This window comes from Homo sapiens, chromosome 10, assembly GCF_000001405.40.
Source record: "Homo sapiens chromosome 10, GRCh38.p14 Primary Assembly".
Lineage (NCBI taxonomy): Eukaryota > Metazoa > Chordata > Mammalia > Primates > Hominidae > Homo > Homo sapiens.
Genome location: NC_000010.11, coordinates 82797329 through 82820839, shown reverse-complemented (window position 1 = coordinate 82820839; position 23511 = coordinate 82797329). Strand labels below are relative to the sequence as shown.

General features: G+C 38.7%; 1 protein-coding gene across 24 annotated transcripts in view, besides 1 other annotated feature; it reads right to left on the bottom strand.

The window, feature by feature from the left end:
* The window catches only part of NRG3 (neuregulin 3), a 1111986-nt gene that overhangs the window by 166340 nt on the left and 922135 nt on the right, over nt 1–23511 (bottom strand). The window contains exon 1 of one of the 24 annotated variants that reach the window (XM_024447781.2): nt 20989–21302. The exons of the other annotated variants lie outside the window; for them this stretch is intronic. The gene's annotated coding sequence lies outside the window, so the exon portion shown is untranslated. Of the gene's footprint in view, nt 1–20988; nt 21303–23511 lie in introns of those variants that run through there. 24 annotated transcript variants of the gene reach the window in all.
* Nucleotides 10240–10428: a silencer, noted in NCBI's record as "fragment chr10:84570168-84570356 (GRCh37/hg19 assembly coordinates)". NCBI's record gives its function as "represses an EF-1alpha promoter that drives an FKBP-Casp9 reporter gene in an ReSE screen in K562 erythroleukemia cells {active_cell/tissue: K562}" and the evidence as "EXISTENCE:reporter gene assay evidence [ECO:0000049][PMID:32094911]".

Genomic DNA, 23511 nt, shown 5'->3' with positions numbered 1-23511 from the left:
AAAAGAAGGGTCACCTTTTATTTAGCAGTAGGGAATGTATGCTAAGAGTTGATGTTCTGAACCACTTAACAAGATGAACTCAAATCTGAAATCATCAACACTTAGAAATAGCTAGTTTTTTTACAATAAGTAGACAGCAGCCAATAGGCAGCAGAGGATACTTAACTGATGGCATATCTTCTCCTGGACATTAATAATATAATTCGGAAGTTTTAAAGGGCTTTGATTTAAATGGAAAAGTAGTTTCAATTGATTAATAAAAAGTTGAGGGCTGCATTTATCTGCTTATCTAGCTGTCTTGCTAGAGATGCTCTGAGTATAATCATTTCCGGGCCCAGACTATGTAGGGAGCAGATGATATAAACATAAGAGATATCTAAGTCATAAAATGTGATAAGAGAAAACCATAAGGTGTTTCCACTCTAAATTAAGGGCCAGAAACCCCACTGCCAATATAAAGAGAAGGAAAAGGAAAGTAGAAAAATAAAACTGAAAGTTTATTAGGAATTTAATATATGCCAGACACTGTGATGTATTTATTTCACCTAATCCTCACAGCAATAATGAGCCACAGAGATTCACAGATGGGACAGCTAAGTGTTAAAAGTTTGTAGCTTTTCAGTGCAAAGTATAACTGATAGATCTAGGTTCTAAGTCATTCATCTGATGTTAAGTGTCAATTCCCCTTTAAGGAAGAATCACTCCACTCTTCTCTGCTATCCAAACCTCTCCTCATTTTTAGTTGTTAGTCTTTTCACTCACTTTGTTGCTCTCGGAAACCATCCTGTAAGTAGACTGATGTCCTGTGTGCATTTCCGGACCCATCTGTGTTCACTGAGTTTCTCCATCTTTCAAGGTTCAGTGCTGTGTATCCCCCTCTAAAATGCCCTCCCAGAGCACTGCTGCCTACTGCAAGTTCTGCTTCACATCCATGGAGGATGCTTTTCACTAATGCCCTCATTTGCAAATTGCAGTACTAAACCCAGCCTTGGGGATTCTCTTTCAATGCTCCTCTATTTTCTAACTCTTTCCATTGTACTGGATGCCAAAGCATGTAAAGCCCACAATAAGGTCTTACATAACCTTCTCCTTCTTATGGAACTCAGCAAAGGACCCAGAGTAATAGATGTTTCATTATTAGCACAAACACCACTAATGACTTTAGGTCTTCTAAAATGCTTCCAACTCTGTTGTCTCATCTATTTTAGTATGTCACCTCATCAGATACTCATAAGAATCTTGGGTAAATATTATATTTTATAGTAATTATTATATTATGCTGTAATGGATATTTTTTCCTTCATGTTACATTTAGGGTGACAAAGGATCAGAGAGGATATAGTCATTGGCGCAAGGTTACACTGCTGGGAAATTGCAGCTGGCTTTGCTGCTTCTCTTAGGATCAGTGCTTTATATACTTTTGATGAATAAGTAAATGGGTAAATTAAAATTCCTATCAGGTCTCCTAGCACCAAGCTTTCTACCACATCATTCAGAATGATTTATTTGACAGCTTATGTATGTTTATGTTTTTCTCATAAAGTCTTATTCCAGCATAGTTGACATAGCATTGGCTTTACAAAATCTCACAATTAGTTCTTGTGAATATCAAACTCATTAGTTGAGACAGAGAGAGAACAATAGCTAACCTAGTTTTAAGAGAAGTAAATTCTTCGTTAATGATTATTTTAAAAAATTAATGTGCCTTCAAATAAGGAAAAGCTTGAACACTTGGCAGTCTGAATGATCCCAATTACAAAATACGTCTAATTATGTTTTTAAAAACTTTCTTAAGGGCATCATCATGATTACTTAGGATTTTAAAAAAATCATTAAAATTTTTTTCTTTTCAAAGTAAATCCACTTTTTTATTTTCAAAGTAAATAGTGTATGGATACAGCAGGTCAATAACACTTTCTGTCCAAAGCAGATATTGAATTTCAAATAAAATTGTATGGACAATCAAATGTATTTAACATTTAGAGCACAAAGCAGGGCTGAGAGAATATGTTTTTCTAAATGGCAGGTGGGTCAGGGAAAAGCAGGAAGAGGTGTGATGCGTTGGGAGACAGTGGAAGATGCTGTAAAGTCCTCCCTTCATTAGAATCAGAAACTTAATGGGAACACTCAGATCGATCTGTGCAGCCCTGGAATTTATGTGTAACAATAGCTGGAGAATTTTAATTTAGAGATTTATGCAAAGAAAAAAAAGAAAGACTCCCCCACCCTCCGCTAGACAGGACAACATATACATAAAAATATGCTTAAAATTTAAAAGTCCCAGGTTCTGGTCTCAGTGTCCAGACTGTTCTTGAGAAAGAACAAGTGAAGAGTCATGGCCCAGGTGTCTAAAAGAAGAAAACCTTTCTTTTTTCTAAAATAAGAAAACCATCTCCTCCTGTCTTCTTTTCCTTCCACAGGCCTCCTGTCCTGCAATGGTCTGATCCCTCCTGAGAAGTTAGTTGCCCTCTTCCACAGCCTCCTGAAGTAGGAGACTTGCAGGGCTTGTTTCCCAAACCAAAGAGGACACTGGCCAGAACCAGCAAGTGGCACAGAAAACAACCTCTAGTTGTCCTCACTGCCCATCAGCATAAGACACTCCCACCAGTGCCATGACGGTTACAAATGCCATGGCAACGCTGCGTTACCACCCCTTCACATGGCAACACCCAGAAGTTACCACCCCATTTTCTATTGATTTCTAAATAACCCACCACCTAATCTGCATACAATTAATAGTGGGTATAAATGCAGCTAGCCAACAGCCCATGCGTGGCTACTCTCCACGCACTGCCTATGGGCTAGCCCTGCTCTGCAAGGGGCAATCACCAAGCATAAACACTGCTGCTTAAGTAAAGCTGCTTTCTTCCACCGCAGGCTTGAGTGAAGCCAAGAACCTTCCCTTCATCACACTTATTTATCATAAATTGTTCTTACACTTTGCCTAGTAACACAGCTCTGTCTTTCTAACCTGAGCAAGCTGGGTCTTCAATGGATCAGCCACATTATTCTGTGCATTCAGCAGCTACCATGTAAAAGCTGCTATACAAAAAGAAGCAAGGGAGAAAGGCTCTAATGTCTTTTCAGTAGAGAACTCCCCAGGGAAACAGACCTTTTAATGGCTGCTGAATTGAACTTCTAGTGTAATATCCTGGCAAACTTCCTTACCAAGAGTAGCTCTTTTCATCCATTTAGTCCATCTTTATTCGGTGTTTTGGGGCATACACCTTCATTCTTCATGGAGATAAGAGTCCAGGCTTACCTGAATCAAACTTGGACCAATTTGGACAAAATAACCAGGAGTAGAGGTAAGAGAAGCAAACAAAGCAAGTTTATGCAAAAAAAGAAAAAGAACCAACAAGCACAAGTGCCTGGAAACAGGCCACAGAACTCTGAGAACTGTGAGATTTATATGAAATCGCAATTTGCATTGTTCAGGCTTAAAATATAGAAAAAATCTACCATATCAGGTTTGTAGTCCTAGCTCAGGCACCATTTGGCTTTCGGTAACTTATTTAATATTGGTGGGCTTCAGTTTTCTCAGCTATTAAATGGTAATTTTGCTATTGAAATCTGTAGCTTGAGAGATTCATTGAGGTCCTGGAAGAAAGGCAGTCCAGGAACCAAAATGTTCCAAAGGCCACAATGATACAGAAGGGGCTGTTACTTGGAAAGCCATCAGTAGAATTGCTGAATTAAAGGGGAAGAGACAAATGCACAATGCAAGACTGGAAACTGGGGAAATCTTTTCAGCAGCGTGGAAAAGGCAAGATCATTTAGAATTTAAAACCAAAACTGATACAATTTCTTCTACTTCATAGATAAGTACAATTTTGTTCAGGAAAATACTTTGTTACTTTCTAGTAGAGGGGTCCTCATTTATGAAAATACCCACATATTCCTCCATACAAAGTGGAACACTCTCAGGCATGGTCTGGGAAAATGAGGACTGCAACAAAGATATTACGTGTATCTAATGTCCAGAGCTGGGTGCGGGGATGCCAGTTGCAGCAGGAGAAGCATGGCTGGGGCTGCGTGCTCTGCTGAGCCTGTGGGAGCCTGGAACAGCTGGGAGCCCCACCTCCTTCTGAGTTGGGGCTGCTGAGGGTGGCTCAGTGTGGGCCTGCAGGCCCCCTCCACTTGAACAGACTGGGCACTATGGACAACATGATTAAGGAAGTAGGAGGCAGACAGGCTCCTCTGTGGGAAGGGGTAAAGACCCACCTTCAGGTGGAATTCCAGGTGGAGTCCACGGCCAGGAGTGAGAACTTATGGTGCTTTTTCTGGGCCCACCCATGGCTGCCCATGGACCAATCAGCATGCATTTCCTCCCTTCTGAAGCCCAGGAAAACCCTGGACTCAGCTGGACTCACAGAAAGACATCAGGACAACCTGTCTGTGAAAAGTAGCTACCCACTTTGGGTCTCCTCTCTGCTGAGAGCTGGACACTCATCGGGATGACCTGCCTGCGGAAAGGAGCTACCCACTTCGGGTCTCCTGAGAGCTGTTCTGTTGCTCAATGAAGCTCCTCTTTGCCTTGATCACCCTCCAGTTGTCTGCATACCTCATTCGTCCTGGATGTGGGACAAGAACTCGGGATACGCCAAATGGCAGGACTAGAAGAGCTGTAACAAAAAACATGGCTGAAACACCTCACCTCCCACTTGCCACATTGTGGGTGACAAGAAGGAGAGAAGAGCTGTGGCCGTTCAGGGAGCCCAGACATAGGGGATCCCTAAGCCAGGGCTGTGACACCCTTTTTGGGGCTCTGTGGTTCCTGGTGTCTCCAAGCTTCTGGGCAACACCATGTTCCTCTCGTCCAGATGCAGATGCCCAATTATACCATTCAGCCATGCCACATGTACCACATGTGGTCCAGCCACAGCTTCACACAGAGCCAAAACGTGTGCTAGCGCCTGGAGCTGCCTGCCCTGCCATAGCAGCCAGCATGCCTAGCCAGTGCACAGTGGCTGGTCTCCGTGCTTGCTTGCCCACACACCCCTCACTGCTGCACCCCTGGCTCACCCTTAGCAGGTGTGGGATCCAGGCCAGTAGCATGAGCCGAGTGCAGCCTGCCAGGTGAAGTGGGCGGAATAAGCCCAGCAGGTGTGAGCAATACTTAGGCAGAAGGCACAACCGGACACAGAGGTTTCCAGCTGAAACCTCTGTGAACCTCCAGGTGAAGTGACACCTGGAGGATCCCATGACATATACACATGTTACAATGAGAATATTGAGATTTCCAGACCAAAGGGAATTTATAAGTTCATGACATCAGGAGAGGAAAAAGAAGGGTTCTAGCCACATGGGGGAAAGCAGAGAGCTCAAGAGAAAGATCAGGAAGAGAAAATTTTTGAGGAAATTTAGGTAGTAGACACAAAAAATTTAAAGAAACAAAAGTGTCAAACCTCTCATGATGTTTGTTGTAAGCTTTTAAGTGAACACCTCATACATTTCCCCAAAGCTTTGCTATTTCTTTGACAAATGGTGGGGAAATCAATGAAATGGGGCCAGGTCTCACATTTGGGCCAAAGAGTAAAGAGCAGTTGTTCCAGGTGAGATGCAAGGGAGGTCCTGAGTTTAACTGGAACAGAAAATGAAAGCAAAAAGTACCTGGACATTTTATGGAAACTCTGGAGAAGGCACAACAAACTTTCATCAGGATGCCATAGCAAATTTTAAAAAATTATTTCCTAGGATGGTATGACCAAAGCCAACCTCTTACTAACATGGGTTTTGGAAGATACTTCTTTAAACCAGGAGGACGGCGATGACCGCAATGCACACTCTCAGAGCAACAATCATGAGAACATTTTTCTAGAAGCAGATCAGCATGGTGGGTTTGGACTTTTGCTCCAGTACTGAGTAGCTCTGTGATCTCTAGAAGTCTATGCAAACTTTCTGTACTGCACTTTCCTTCTCTGTAAAATGGATACAGTCTCAGGTGGCACAACACAGAGTTGTGAGGATTAAAGGAGGCCTCTCACATAAAGTGCTTAGCAGACTACCAAACATGATAGTGTGCAAGTGTTCACTATGACTCATACAGGCTTAGTGCTGAGAATGAAGTAAGATGATATTTATAAAAGTGCTTTTTAAATTATACAGAAAATACATGTGAAATTGTTGGTTATTATAAAATGAAAATAAAAGAGTAAAATTCTGACTTCTTGGTCCTAAAACTCAAAAAATAATTCTCTCTTAGGCTTTACAGGATGAAATGTTTTCTCATGGGTCAGAAGTAGCTGTCGGCCTTTCTACTATAGAGGCATCATGGGAGGATGAGAGAATACTAAATTATTTAACACTAGGATCAAGAAATTTCCCATATCATAAACCTGGCTCCACAGGCTTCCTCATCAGTGGTAGTCTTCGGGGAGAAGCCCCATGCGGCCTCTGGGTTTTAGAATGTGCATTAGCATTTACTAGTAATGATAGTGATTAATATTATTTATAAAATTAATCCTAGGCAAATCTCTAAACACCCTGTTCTACTCTTTAATGTAAATTAATGATCATTTTATCTTTCTCCATCTCAGTTTAATTAGAATCCACAGTAGTCTATGAATTGGTATGTTTGCCAAAGTTAACTCAATAGTGTATACAAATAGTGGTCAATGAAAAGACCTGTTTGGAAAGCTACATGCTGACATAATTGAAAACCACTTGGTTATGAGTCATAGAGCTTGGGAGGAAATGCTTTCATCTGCTGCAATTCAATTATACTACAAATTACATCAAAGGAGATCCTGATAAAGCCTGCAAAGATAATGGTGAACAATGATTAGCAATGAAAAGAAGAGCATTCCTGGGAGTGAACCGTGCCACCTGCACAGAGTACGAGTAACTTCTAAGTAGCAGCCCTGATGCTCTATGAATCTGGGACTGAGGAGTCACGCGCCAGGCCAGCTGCTGTTTCCCATAGTCCTCTCAAGACCTGTGTGTACACACGTTCCAAGTCATGCTTCAGACACAGCTTTGGGCCCTCAGTTACTTTAAAAATTAAAATTGGGTTTGGAAAGATCGCTTCAATATACAATCTCTAAATTTGATTTGTCAATGATTTTTATGGTCTCCACCACAAAATTCTGAAACGTGATCAGATCTAGGAGTTAAGAGAATGAATATAAATGAGACTGTGTTACAAAAGACAGCCCGTTTAATTAATAAGCATTTTCTGAGCATATTGTTGATAATACAAATAAAGGTGTAAAAGTGTAAATAAAGATCTTTGTTCTCAAGATTACCATGCTCTCGAGGAAGTCTCATATGGAAGCAACTACAATGTTATAATGCAATATACTAAGACTTATTTAAAAAGGTACAGGCTGGGCACGGTGGCTCACATCTGTAATCCCACCACTTTGGGAGGCTGAGGCGGGTGGATCACTTGAGGTCAGGAGTTTGAGACCAGCTTGGCCAACATGGTGAAACCTCATTTCTATTAAAAATACAAAAATTAGCCAGGTGTGGTGGTGGATGCCTGTAATCCCAGCTACTCAGGAGGCTGAGGCAGGAGAATCACTTGAGCCTGGGAGGAAGAGGTTGCAGTGAGCTAAGATTTTGCCACTATACTCCAGCCTGGGCAACAGAGCAAGACCCTGTCTCAAAAAAAAAAAAAAAAAAAAGAGAAACAGAGGGTATGAATAATGATGAATAATGTACTTTGTGTTTTTTTTACTTTAACTTGATTAACTCATCAAAACACTCATACATTTCAGATCTAGGACATGCTGTGGTCTGCCATGAGTGATATGAGCACAGGTTTCAAAGATTGATACCTGCTGATAAATTTCTTGAGTTATTGCATGACTGAAAATGTCTTTCTGTTGCTATTACATTTAAGGACAACATGTCAAGATGTAAAATCTTGGTTCACATTTGATTTTTCTAACACTTTTATAGATGTTTCTTTTTGCTTTCTGGTTTTGACTATTGCAGAGGAGAAATTCAAATTTTGTCTGGTTATCTTCTTTGAAATAAACATATTTTTTGTACTATGTAGAATAAAACATCTAACTTTTGCTTTGCAGTTTCAAAACTTATCAGAAAATGTCTACATGTTAGTTTCTACTGAGTAATTTTATTTGAGTGTGATAAGCCAGGTTTCTCAATATTTCTATGGTCCTGAGTTTTGTTTCATTCATAACTCTTATGCTAATTTTTATCTCCTGAGAGGTTGCTTTTGCATCCTGAGTGTGCTTTTTAAATTCATTTTTTGTTTTATTGATGTGGTTTTTAGCAGTGTTGATTCTACATTTTCCATATACAATAAAGATCTTATTTTTATTTCACCCACATTTTACTATAATTATGTCAGTTTAATAGAAGCAGTATTATTTTTTATCTCACCTAGGATTAAATGAAAAATAACTAGGCTTAACATTTTATTTTGCTTCATGTCAAAATGTAAATTTCAAAGTAGACTTTTTGTTCTTGAGCCGAAGAACCTTCATTGGTTGGTTGGTTCTAGTAATTTGCCTCAAAGAAAAACAAAACAAAAAAGCAAAACAAACCACATATCTTTAAATTTGGGTTGTTAATTTTCAGCATTTTGACCAGAAATCTAGGTGCCTTGCTTCTCAAAGGATGATTCAGGGACTAGGAATATCAGCATCAACTGAGAGGAGACTGGGAGAAATAGAGGATCTTAGATTCCCACACAGACATAGCGAACTGGAACCTACATTTCAACAAGATCTCCACATAATTATATACATATTAACATTTGAGAAACCCTGGTCTAGAAGAGCCATGTATTTGGTTGTTGGGAGTCATTTAACTCAGCTGAGCTATCAGGCTTCATACCAACACTGAAGCCAGCTGACATCTCTTTAAGTTTCTGTCTCTAAAGTGTGGCTTGAAGACAACATGCTTGCCAAGCTCTGGTGTGACCAAAGATTGTAGGATCCAGTCTACAAGGTGTTTTACATGTTTATTCAGTCAACTATCATGGTTTCTTCCCTGAAGTATGGATTAAGACAGACTGGGCAATCCAACTCTGAAAATTTCAAAGCCTGCCCCCTGGAGGACTGCTGGTGAATGCAGCTCCATGGCAGGGAAGGAAAGCAATTGAACAGGAAGAGCTTGCCTCAGTCCAGGCAGGTGTTGAAATACGGGCCTATTAATGTTCACAGTTTTATTTTGCTTTATCTCTAAGGATCTAATTAATTTAGAGATCATTGCTTTTACTGTCAATGTGGAATAAAGATGATGAATGGACTAACCTCGGCATGTGCAGCCCAAATTGGTGTATTCCCAATGGTTCCTACTGCCTGTCACCTTTACTTTTCACCTGTTCCACAAGTGTTACAATAGAATCTAATAGGAAGGTAGCTCTAAGCCAAATGGGTCACTGATATCTCCCCAGAATTTCACCATTGCAGGAGAAACAAAAGCTGGTTAAAATTCCAAAAACTTTAGAAGGTCGCCACAAGCCTCCCTTTCTAAAAAGGGAACGCACATCATTGACATACAAGTTCTTTCTGCCCTTTTGTTTATTCAACGAATATTTAATGGATACAGAAGTAGGCTCTGGTGATATGGCAGTGAACAAACAGGTGAAGCTTCTTCCTTCATAGAGTTTGTTATCTAGTGAAAATATAAACATTACAAAACAAATCATGTGAAGATGGTTATAAGTCATATGAAGCAATACATATCATGGTAAAGAGCTAGGCAGGCATTCATTGCCAGGCGTTTGTATGTATATATGCTTGGGAGACAGATATGGCTATTTTGCAAAGGAGGCTCAAAGGAGCCCCCAGTGAAAAAGTGAATTTCAGTGGAGATTTGAAGGAAGTGAAGGAAGGGGCCCTGCAAATGACTAAAGGAAGAACACTGCAAGTAAAGGACACACAAGGACACCTCTCCATAGTAGGGCAGTAGTATATTTTATTCTGAAAATTCATAAGAATTTAAAGAGAAAAATGTATGACATACCCATTAAAATTAGATAACAAATCCTGTTTTTAGTGGCTTTTAAGTATTAATATCTTGTATGTCTCCCTATTCTTCCTATTACCAGCGACCTAGTTCACACCCTCAGCATCACTGGCTTGGACTATTGCAGTCGCTTCTTCTTTTTTTTTTTTTTTTTTTTAGGCTGGAGTGCAGTGGTGCGATCTTGGCTCACCACAACTTCCGTCTCCCGGGTTCAAGTGATTCTCCTGCCTCCGCCTCCCGAGTTGCTGGGATTACAGGCACCCACCAGCACGCCTGGCTAATTTTTGTATTTTTAGTAGAGACGGGGTTTCACCACGTTGGCCAGGCTGGTCTCAAACTCCTGACATCAGGTGATCCACCTGCCTCGGCCTCCCAAAGTGCTGGGATTACAGGCGTGAGCCACAGTGCCTGGCCTTCAGTCACTTCTTTACTGATCTGTTTGTCTTTAGTCACATACTAATCCAGTCCATTTTAAGCAAAAATGAACCTAGTGCAACATCTCAGCCTAAAACTCTTCAAAAACATTCACATAGAAAAAAACAGCATTGGAGATCCACTGCTAAATCATTCACAACTGTCAATCCCAAATGGATTTTATACTTAAGTATAAAAACCAGATCTTTAAAACTTTTCAAAGGAAATAGACCAATACATATCCATAACCTTAGGGTAGGGCTACTTTTAAACAAGACATGAAGCACACAAAGAATTAGGATGGGCTGATATCTTTAACTGTACTACAATTAAGAACCTCTGCCTGTCAAAATCATAGGGCAAGCCATAAACTGGGAGGTAATTTACAAGACACATAATTGCCAAAGGAATTAGTATCCAGAATATGTAAAAAATACCTATCCTATATATATCAATAAGAAAAAGCAACTTTCAAATCAGGAGTTGGCTTTCACAAGAGCAGAAATATAAAAATCAACAAGTTATAAGAAAAAAAAAAACCTGTGTAGAAATTGGATTATTGAAATGCCTTTACAACCCAGTAGATTATCTTAAATTTAAAAAAAATAATGAAGTTTTATTGACAAGGTCATGGAAAGCAGATTGTGAGAATGGGGGTGTAAATCACTGAAAAAAACCTGGAAAACTACTTAGGATTATCTCTTGCAGAATTAAAGATGAATATTTCTTACATAAAAATTCTCTAGTGTCATTGATAGTAAAGCAAAAATCTAGAAACAAGAAATGAGGTTGAAACACAAATGAACCCTGAAAGTAAATTCTCTACAGCCACGTTAACAGGGACAAATCTCACAAACATAAGGTTGAATTTCTTAAAAATCACCAAAATATACATTATGTGTTAAAACTATTTAAATACGTTTCTGTATGATAAGATATAATATATTATGGGGACATAGTTACAAACTTAGGAATGCTAAGGAAGATAATTTACATCTCAGAGGAGCACAGGACTTGTCTCAATGGTGTTATTATGTTCACATTTTTTAAATGGGGTACATGGGAATACTAATGTTGTTTTTTTCACATTTTATAAATATAATATATATTTTTTGTATAAATGATATATTTTATGATTATAAAGAAGAAGAATGAGTGTTGAAAACAGTGGATCTTTGGTTCAAATCCCATATCTTCTACTTTGTTTAATATGCCCTGAGACTCATCATTTTTTTTCTCCTTTACATACACAACTGAATTGCATACACAGTCACTAGCACAATCATTGGCAAATGGCGAGTACTAAATATATATTGGATAATATGGGATGGGGCTCTTTAATGGCTTCTCATGGCTGTTCCCTTCTTTGCATGGTGCATGTGTTGTCTTGAACTGGCCTTGACCCTCTTGTCCAACTTCATATCCCACCATCGCCTCCTCTCAGTCACTGCTACAGCATATGCCAGCATTCCTCATTTCTTTGCCTTCAGTACTAAACCCATTGATCTGCCATTATTCCTCAAGGCTCAAGCCAAATAGCACCTCTACTGTGAACAGACAACACTGTAGCACTGACCCCAATACATGTAATTCATGCAATTTTAGTAAAAATTCACGTAATTTTAGTGTTTATATGTGGGTTTAATCATAATATTATGGCAGGAGCCATATATTGTTTTATCATCTTATCCCAGGACAGGTGAAAAAACAATAAATAAGTAGCTGTATAAGGAATAAATTCATAATTTTGAGATTACTTTAGTTGTCTAAATTCCGGGTTTGATTTAAAACATGAAGCATGGGTAATTCTATTAATCATAAATAGGTAAAAGTTTTGTCATTGCAGAAAAAGCTAATGAAGTATTTCTAAAAAATAACAGTTTAATTGGAGAGATTTTTTTCATTCTAAGGCTATCTAAAAAAGTTAATCACATATATAATCATCTATGAAAGATCTCACACATTTATATTATCATAAAAATATCTCAAAATTAAAAGAAAAATGTGTGTGTTTAATTACATAATGTCACTGATCACCAAAAATTATAAGTAATTTGTAATAGTAAAATGAAATGAGTCGACTCCTTTATTGAATTTAAATGAATTTGAATATTTATTTTCTGGAACATTTAGTAAAATGATCTCAATGTATCATTCAGATTTAACTGTGTGATACACAGTGTAAGTAGAAACTGTATTTATAAGCTATAAACAAAATGAAAGGAGAAACTCTAAGGTGCTTATTCAAAATAGCGACTTGACTACTGTGCTTTTTTTTTTTTACTACGTGTGTAGAAATTATGTTTGAGGGGCATTTATGAGAGCAATTATTCAAGATACATGAAAAATGAGATGAAAATAAGTGAAGAACCTACGAATTAACCATAAATGTTCCTCATTCACAACACAGAAAGGGTAACACCAGATACATCTACCCCCTTACGATAATGGGAGTCAATTTATTGGAGAAAATTTTTGCAGTTATTGAGAAAGATGAAGAAGGAAAGAAATTGTCTGTGAGAGGAGACTATTTAGGTAAAGAAAGAAAAAGGATTTGTAAACAAGGAATAGTACTGTGAGTCCCTGGACTGTTTCAAAGAAAATTAGATGTGTTTTGTGAAAAAATAAATGAAATAAATTTATTTAAAAAGTATGCCATATGACTGTCTTTGCAGCCATATAAGAGAAGACAGGAAACAGGGAAAAAGGGAAAAAGAAGCTTGCTTTGGAGGCATGATGTATAAATCAGTATTTCTCACTCTTGAATGTGCATAGGATTCATCAAGGGAGCTTATTATTAATAAAACAAAGATTCTGAAGCAGTTTGCTTTGGGGTGGCACTTGAGATTCTGTGTATCTAACAAGCTCCCAGATGATGCTGATGTTGCTGGCCTTGGATCACACTTTAAATTCCAACAAGAAAGGAAATTACATTGTAGTCCTATGGATGTGTGTTCACATCCTAACTCTGATTCATGTAATTATGTATTCTGGACTCATGGAGGCCTCTGAACTTTACATAGGTGGACATGAGTAGCAACACTCCACACACCCCGTTGCAAGGTAATGAAATAATGTTAGCAAATCCCCAGACACAAAGTAGGTATTCATGACTGTCAGTTCCCCTTATTGAGTCCTTGCAAGTTTACTTGCTCAAATTGATGTTATTGAACATGCAGTAATTATTATATTTCAAGTGTAATGAAAACATGTAAGTCAAGATGCCCCCTAAATAAGTCAAAAATTAGATATCATTTCACTTTTATAACATTTGTCTTTTTATGTACTTTGACAGATGTCTCATTTAGAAGCAGAACATGATTAGAGGGAAAGAAATTGTTGGAAAGATATTGCAAACATTTGGAAAAGCAAGAGGCTAAAACTCATGTTGGGATGGTGACTTTCTCCCAGGACATTTATGTCCAATAACCAATTAGGGTCTTGGCAGCAAACAATGTGTGGAAAGCTGTAATTCCATCACATGAAAGCAGGAAACAGTTGAAATAAAATATAGTGTGAGTCTTTAAAGTCTATGTAGACAATGAGTAGATGTGCTTCAAAAATAAAATGATTTGCAGGTAGGACAAATAGAAATAGGAAGGGTTACATGCAGATGGTGCCTATCTGATGTCTACAACAGGCTCTATCAGACAACCTTATGATCCAAACTGCAGAGGAACACATGAGACTTACCTAAGTACTATGCACTAATTCCAGTACCCCCATCAGACTGTCATCTACATCATCTTCTCTACGTATCTGGTTGTCACTCCTAAATTATTCTCTTTTTCCCTCCTGATTAGCCACTCCGGATTTATATACTAATGGTACATGACAACTCCTAGATGCATCTCAGAAATGTGAAACAACATCCTCAAATCAATGCCTTTTCTAGAGAGAAATACTTGAAAAGTCTCAACTAATCATCAGGTTGGGTCTTTAGCTTCACTTCTCACATTAATTGTAGGTCCGTGAGTAGAAGCCTAGCTCATTACCCAATACCTCATACATGCTCTACTAATACGTGATGTGTGAATGAGGTCAGGATTTTTGTCTTTAGTATATATTTTTATAAAAACAGCAAAAACTAAGTAGAAAGGCAATCACAGAACTTGATCACAAATAAAATATATAGAAAATAATGCCGTCTTATCTAAGTATTCAGACAATCGGGCATAATTTCAGGCCTCAATTGTCATTGTCATTGTTGAAAAGACCTATAAGTCATATTTATAACAGGAAGTGTCAATAAGGCACATGAGGAACTCAAACCTTGTTGACACTCACATCTGCTTAAAGCCATAGCTGATGTTTCCCTGAGGTGTCACTTGCTTTCTGATATGAAAGGACCCAGTCTCTCTATAAACAAATGCTTCTCTAGCAGTAGATTAGGATGAATGAATTCTATTTCTTAAATGTTCATAAGAAATCTCTATACAATTTGCTATTAATAAGATTAGATAAAATCTCCTAAAGCAACATTTTCCCCTCATTCTCAGTTGATGTTTCAGAAAAACCTTTGACAGAAAAATTTGAAAATAAAGATTTTTAGCAATAGAAGTGACATACTAAAATGTACTGATCCAAACTAAGAAGTCTTTGGAACAGGCCTGTGCACATTTGCTTACAGCCCACCAAATTCAGAATATTTAATCTGAAAGATAATTTAGAGACTATAGGACCATCTCTGCAATTTTACAAAGGCCCAGAGGCTCAGGTTGCTTAGCCAATTTGCCCAAGTCATAAGCTCATCAGGAACATCTCCTTGGAGATCATCCCAGATTCAAGACCACGTCACCTCTTTCATGCTCTAATACATCAGCCTCTTAACTCATGTGTCTGCTTCCATCCTCCATACACCTCCCCACCTTCCAGCAGATTTCCTCCCAGGGCCTCAAGATCTGGCAATGACACCTCTCCCCTTCAAGCCAGTTTCTAAACGGAGGAGGAAAGATTTAAACAGGGTCTGGAAGGATTTTGCAAAGCTGACAAAGGGGAAGGGTACTAAAAAGAAAAATATAAATAAATAAATAAAAGAAAGACACAGGGACAAAAGACGCAGAGACAAGATTAAAGGGAATTATTTGAGGAGCAGTGAGTGGTTTTACTCTAAGTGCATTCACGTTTAAATGAAAGTATGCTGAAAAAATGAGACACAAAGCTGATAGTGGAAGATATACGATCAAAGGAATGTCCGATGGTATCTGCTGGTGAAAGCTGCAGTCTAACTAGGGTGAGGGCTCATTACCTACCACAATATTAGCAAGGACCCAAGACTCTAACCACTCAAAGGGATGGTCTTGCAGCATTGCCATCAACTGAGACCTTAGAAATTCAGAACCTCCAGCCTCTTCCCCAACCTTGTGAAACAAAACCTTCATTTGTCACAGGTTCATCAGGGGATTTGTGTGCATAATACATTTGAATAGCACTGACTAAAAATGAGTTCTAAGAAAAGCTGATGAAAATTACATGATTGGCTTCAATATACTTGGGATGCTCTAACCCCCAGTAGTACTAACCCCAGTAGTACATTTCTTATAGCAGAAAGCTAATTGGTATCTAATTAGATAAAGTATGGATCAAAGTTTCCACATTTGGTAACTTCTGTAGTCAGGGAAGGTAAATTTGAGAATGTGTACCTTCCCAGATAGGCTATGTTGAAATTCTGTGGCTCTGAAAATAGCGTCAATTTTGACCGTCTGCATTCTCAAGCCTAGCAAAGGGCAGTTAGTTGGCAAGAAAGTGGTGTCTGGATGAAAACGGATGGAGAAGAGTCACTGGCACTTATTAAGGCTTTGTGTTGTAAGGCAAATGCTTCACATATGCATTCTCATTTAAACCTCACTTTACAAGATTGGAATCCAAGGCCTGAAGAAGATAATTGATTTTCTCATGTGTGATTATAGCAATAAGAATGATAATGATTTTGTGGCTAGCATTTATTGAGCACTTACTATAGTGGCCCCCTTTTATCCTCGACCCCCTGTGGATGCCAGAAACCACGAACAGTACTGAACCTGATTGCTGTCGTTCGAAATACATTTCTGTTCATGTCTTCCACCCACAAATGCAATGCCTTTTCCATCTTAATTAAGCCCTTATCATGCATTGTAGCCAAAACCTTTGCAGCTTGATGTGTGACAGCAAAATTAGCATGAATTTCTTTTGCCTTCTTCAGAATTTCACTTAGAAGATTCATTCTTACCATAGATCTTAGCAATGTCAGCATATAATTTTTTCTTTCCTTATTAAGTCCAGAAGTTTCACCTTTTCACTTAAAGGAAGCACTTTGCAGTTTCTCTTTGGCGGGTGCAAATTGACAGCATCACCACTCTTGCACTTTGGGGCCATTAAGTAAAACAAGGGTTACTTGGACACTAGCACAGTGCCACTGTGATGGTTGATCTGATAAGTGAAACAGCTACTAAGTGACTGGTGGGCTGGGAGCACGGATGGCGCGGATGTGCTGGACAAAGGGACAAAGCATAATGGTGTGAAATTTCATCACAGTATTCAGAACAGTACACAATTTAAAACTTATAAATTGTTTATGCCTGGAACTGTCCACTTAATATTTTTGGACTATGGTTGACCTTGGGGAACTAAAACCGTAAAGTGAAGCCATGGATAAGGAGGGACTACTTCGTGTGTTCAAATTATTGAGCTAAATATTTTTTGTAGCCATTATCTCATTTAATTTTCCCCACGATCCTGTGAGAAGTATTGTTGTCTTCATTTTATAACTCAAAATACATATTTACGCTTCATCATGGGCATGTCTGACTTGAAAGCCCACACTCTTTCCTCAACACCGGAATAACTCAATCACCACCCTTTTATTCATCTGCAATGTTCTGCAAATGATGTCAAAGAGATTCTGATTCTCTCATAAAGTCAAAAAAATGAATGAATGAAAGAAAAAGAAACTCTTTAAGGTGAAAAATTATACATCACAAGATTTCTGAGATTTACAAATGAGATTATTGAACTAACATTTTTTTAAATGTGCCCTTCAGCAAAGATGAAATACACATACTTCTGTTGATGCAATTGTCTTCAATGATTTATTAGGAGATAGATGGGTAACTAGATTTCCCTATCTATTCTGTCATTTAGAGTCCCACACAAATAAGCGCAGAAACATTTACAGGCAATTTAAAAGAATATTGACCACACATTTCCAAAATAAACTTCTAAACCGACTCTCACATCCACAGATAAAGTTTTCTACTGCCCCTGTCATACTACAACCGAATCCCTTGAATGGTCTGCACTCATTCAACACAGGTGCCTTTACTGGAGGGGAGGATCATCTACAGGAAGTATAGGGGTCTGGAGTCCTCACAGAGTTCTGAATGCAAAATTCCTCCCTTAAGATTCACATAGCCTCAGACGGTTTCTTTGATACTCTTTAAACCAGAATTTTCTACATCATAAAATCTTTGTGTTAGTTCAGAGGATTGTAGTAAACATTCAACACAATCACAAAATAAGGAACCTAGGGAGGCTGGGTGCGATGTTTACATCTGTAATCCCAACACTCTGGGAGCCAAGACAGGTGAATCATTTGAGCCCAGGATTTTGAGACCAGCCTGGGCAAAATGGCAAAGCCTTGTCCCTACCATAAAAACAAAACAAAAATAATCAAAAACCGAAAATTAGCTGGGCTTGGTGGTGCGTGCCTGTAGTCCCAGCTACTTAGGAGGCTGAGTGGGGCAGATGGTTGGAGCCCAGGAGATCAAAGCTTCAGTGAGCCGTGATCAGGCCACTGCACTCCAGCCTGGGTGACAGAGCGAGATCTTGTCTCAAAAAATTTAAAAAAAATAAAAATAAAGGGCCTGGTAAATAGTACTACTCCATGGGTTGTCCTGTTCTTCTACATTAACCCTGATATTTTATGTAGACACAATTTGAAAGATATATTTTTGTCTTGAAATCAATATATCTGAGTAAATATCATAAACTGATAAGGATATGCAAGGTTCTTGGCAGTTGCTGTAATTTTTAGTTTCTCAGTTTTAGTCCATTAAACCTGAGCTCACCAATTTGACCCCCTTGATCAGCATGTTTGTTTTCAAAAAAGTTAGATCATGCAGAGTAGCCTCAAGCTGATTTATAAAGTTTGAAATATTTCAAACCCTTTTGCACATTCATTTTCTGCTAATATCCACTCTCCCCTGACTTCCAGACATTTGCATTTATCCAAGATGCTACTCATTTGTGGCAACACACCAGGGCCTCCTCTCTCTGTCGTGAATGAGCTCTGTTTTCTCTCACTTTCCTAGCACCCAATCAAACATTCTTTAACTATATCTGATCTCACAAAAGTATTAGAGTAAAGGAATTTGGTTAAAAAACTCATACTACGCACCTCTAGTGGATTCAGCCCATTCTTTTACCTAGATGACTGCTGTTTTTCACATGCTATTTGAAACAAATTAAATGGGTAACTAATGGTGGAATTTTCCTACTTTTTTGGTAAGAGATGCTTTCCTCTCATTCCTAAAATGAAAACTGGTCAAAGCAGCTCACATACAAGAGACTTTGGTAATTTAAAGGAACCCGAAGAAAGCAAAGCATGGGATAGCAATGGATCATGTTGAGTGTTACATTGAATGTGTCTATTGGAACAGATATTCTGAATTTACCATCACATCACACAGACATTACAAGGAGAAAACAAATGCCACAGGGGCAAGTGAATATATCCATCCTCCAGAATATTCCTCTCCCAAGAAATTCTGCGTACTCTTCAAATAGTGTCTTGAAAGATAAGCCCTGTTTGCACCAGGTAAACAGGCTTTTTACCACTAATATGTCTATCACATTGGACTCTGCTGCCATTCTGTAGCCTGGCAAAAGGCAGCTGAAGATTACAATTTTCCATTTGCACAAAGTCCAAAATTATGAACTCTGTGGATACCAATGACACAATGATTAACCCTTACTTCTCCAATGCCACAGCTTGATGGCTGTAATTCATTGTTGGAGGGCTTGGCAATCTGCTACTGGCCTTAATGACACATTCCAGATGGAATGTGTCAGCTCATTTTTTGAAGACAGAAAGAAAAAGAAAGATGTTTTTCTAACACTATCTTGCCAACACATAAGGAAGCTGATGGAGTGACCACTTCAACTATAAGTTTTCATAGTTACTTCAGTCTTACGCTCTTAATTTCCAGTGCTTACTGATCCCGATACCATGGATAAATCTCTCCAGATTCCTGAGATTAAACATGGTGGTTGGACTGATATGGATACAGTGGTTTAAAATATGTACCTCCAGACAGTGGCCACATCTTCGAAGTGCAACTTTTCTCTAGCGGAACACACTAGTCTGCCTAATAGGCATGTTCCATCACATGCTCCTTTTCCCAGGACTCAGTCATTTGAAGTATCTTTGCTGCATTCACTATACCACTATTTCTCTATCTGAACACAATACTCATTTACTTTCATAACCTTGCCTTTGCCCTTTGATAAAGAAGAATTCAATTCTTTCCCACCTTCCAGCTCCCCAGATCTCTTCCCCTTAATTAGGCAGTCTTAGGATACTTCAGTTAACAGCCTTTCCAGCTCAATTGTGCCCCTAGCTCCTCTGTGCACCAGCTGTCCACCCACATCAAGTCAAAGGATTTGGATTCTGCTCAGGTCACCTTAAGGGAAGTGAAAATTCAAATTGGGAGACTCCTAGTCACATTTAGAAATGCCTCCTTCACTAGCATTTGAGACTGAACTCTTGCTTTAATATATCTTATTTGGTACTTTGCAGCTTGTTTGCTAATCTCCTATAACTTCCAAATATTATAATACAGAAAATAGACTTCATTAATACTATGTATGCCACTTTCATCATTTTTGTCATCATCAACAGCCAAATGTACTAACATTAATTAAGCACCTACTAAATGCTAGGCAATATCATTAACATGTAATATGCACACTCTCATTCCCTATAACATTCAGCACAGTAAATTACTGTAAAACAGAGTTCAATATTTGTTAAATGAATGAATGGTGCTAATGATTGGGATGCTTAAAAATAAAGCTAAGTCAATGTTAGTGGTTGAATATGTTTCCCTTTCTTGCCCGTAGGTAAAAATAATTGTTATAATAATCACCCTGGGGCTTGCTCATTTGTTAAAACCAAAAATCACAAGGGAAACTAAGAAATATCCTAACCAAATGTAAGATGTCTCTCACCTTCCGCAGAAAAGTAAAGATGTAGAAACCCAGAGCATTGCTAAAACATTTTGCTAATGTTAACTTGATTTTCAGATAGCTAGCAAATATAGTTTTTTAAATCACAAGTAATAGTCTAGAAGGCGATAGAGACAGAAAACCGAGAAATAAGATTCAAGCACAAGAGAGTCAGAAACCGGCTATAAATCCAAAGAGGAAGCAAAGAGAACCAAAGGCAGGAACCTTAAGAAAGACACTGAAGTCAAGGGACCTATCCAGACATGGCCAACATGACGAAGGGTGTATCATGGCGGGTCCAGCTCTTCTATTCTTGGACAGTGGACCTCCATGGAGCCAGGACCAAGGCAAGATAAAAAGTCAAAGGGATTCACAGAAACCACTCTTCCAGTTGAACTGTTGTTAGGGAATACGAGGAATACTTACATTGTAGGCAGTGAGTCTTGAAGTTGCCAGTGAAAAAGGCCGATGTTTCACTGCCCTTTTCACTATCCTCTTTGCTCAGTACCCTGCCTGGAGACACTGTCTGCTACAGTGTCTCACTTGGCTTCTTGAATTAGAAGGAACCCTAGAGACCTAGAGATTCTAGAGTTCACCATTGGGCCTGGTGCACGAATCCCCCATCAGTGTTGTCAACAAATGCTACATGGCTTCTGCCTGTATTTCTCAAAAGACCATCTCTTACATAATACTCCAGTTTCTAGAGAGATTTCCTTTACGTTAGACTGAAATGTCTTTTTTTTTTTTTTTTGAGACGGAATTTCGCTCTTGTCACCCAGGCTGGAGTGCAATGGCGCAATCTCACCTCACTGCAACCTCTGACTCCCCGGTTCAAGTGACTCTCCTGCCTCAGCCTCCTGAGTAGCTGGGATTACTGGTACAAGCCAACATGCCCAGCTAGTTTTTGTATTTTTAGTAGAGATGGGGTTTCACCGCATTGGCCAGGCTGGTTTGAACTCCTGACTTCGGTGATCCGCCCGCCTTGGCCTCTCAAAGTGCTAGGATTACAGGTGTGAGCCACCGCACCCAGCCTAGGGTAAAATCTCTTTACCTCTCTCATTTTCTAGACACCGGAGCTCTTCTCCAGATATACAGCCGCACCAATAAGTCTCAGCATCTTTTGTTAGAACTCTATCATGCTGATATACTCTGTTCTTGGAAATTATCTAGCCCCTGGCATATAGCAGGTACTCAATAAATTATTGGCAGACTGCTTGACTACATATTGTCTAAATAATCCTCTTCTATATCATTGAATTCCACTATCAGAATGACTGACATCCAATTATCCTATGAACCTTGAGTATCTCCCAGTCACCTGCAGAGCCTCTGTGTGACCTACCACTGTCTGCATTCCAACTGACTCCAGCCCAGCCAGTCCTTCTCTATATCCCAAGGGGTCCGAGATAAGGATGTAGGAGTGGGAAATGTGAGTAAAAATCAAGTTGATGTGAGATTACAAAATGCATTAAAAATTCCACACACAAAAAATCTGACCGTCTCTCTATAGCCCAGTGATTTTCCATTTATACACAGTAGCTTGCAGATGTTTCGAGAACTCTTCATTACTATGCTTCTAGTTTCTAAGGAATCTGGGATTTGTCTTTACAAGTGATTGTAGTTGCAACTGTAAAAATAAATTATAAAATTTTCTTTGAGGAGAGAAGTGGCTTCATACTCACGCTTTTTTCCTTTGGGGTGTTTCCTTGTAAACTTAATAAACCCCCAAACAAGATAGTCCTTTTGATTCAGTTTTCTGGCCTTCTTCCCCTTGGAACTGTAAACCTACAAATTAGCTCTGTGCTATCTCACAACTATAGAGCAGATGACAGGGCTCATCTATTTATCTCTCAAGGAGATAAGAGAAGTTTCTATTGTTCTTTCTTTGACTGCTGTATAGATTTGTGTAAGATTCTGTCCAGAGTTTATAGTTTCTTGTGTGCCACCTTATATACATGTCAACCTGGTAATGCTTTCTCAAAATTAAATTGTGTTTCCTTTATTCTTCTGTATTGGAACTGAAGAATCTTTTGTTGCAGGATTGTTTCATTTACCCAATACTATAACTTACTGTGTATATTTGGTCAGCCCCTAACTCTGTGGGTTTTGTGATGTTACAAATATCAGGGTACAAGGTACTGTGAGTAAGAGGAAAACAGTGTTACACTTTTTTTCAAGTAGGTTCTCAAAGACATTGCCTCAGGTATACAAAAGAGTATTGAAAAGGCAATAAATAGCAATACACTTCTAGAGGATAATACCTTGAACCATTTTAAGGGTATTTAAAAATATTTTAATGTAGTCATGATTATTTTACTAGTTACTGCACTGTAATTTCTTCTGACTTGTTTTTCTTAAAATTAATTCTTTCAACTGTACTAACAACAAAACCAGGTTGAGAATCTGTTGCCCTGAAGAAGACAGAGCCAGGTCAAATATGCAACTTCAGGAGGCCACATTCACAGTTTTGTTTACATTCATAAACTCCCCTAGAAGACAACTCCGATCTACCAATTGAGATCAGTTTGACAACATCACTAGCAGATGAGACAAAATGAAGTCAGAGAAGGCAAAAAACAGTTATTTATTGCAAGTAGAGAGTGGTGTTGAGGGAGTGGCAGTGAAGAGTTAAAGGAGAGAACAGATTCGAGGTACTTTGGGGGCAGACATGAGCAAACAAGGACATTTGATATAATGAACATGACAAAGAAGAAAGCAGTGATGGATGCTTCTGGAGTTTTGAATCTGAGTGACAGAAAAAAAACATTGTTTTCCAAATTATGAAATTGTATATGAGAGGTAGATTTAAGCACTGAGTAGGTGACTTTGGACATGACCCACCTGAAATGCCAGTGAGACATCCCAAAGGCACCTGGATAGTCAAGTATGGAGCAGGTCAAGAAGTGAGGGGTTTATTTGAAATGCAGCCATATTTAAAGTTATTTATAA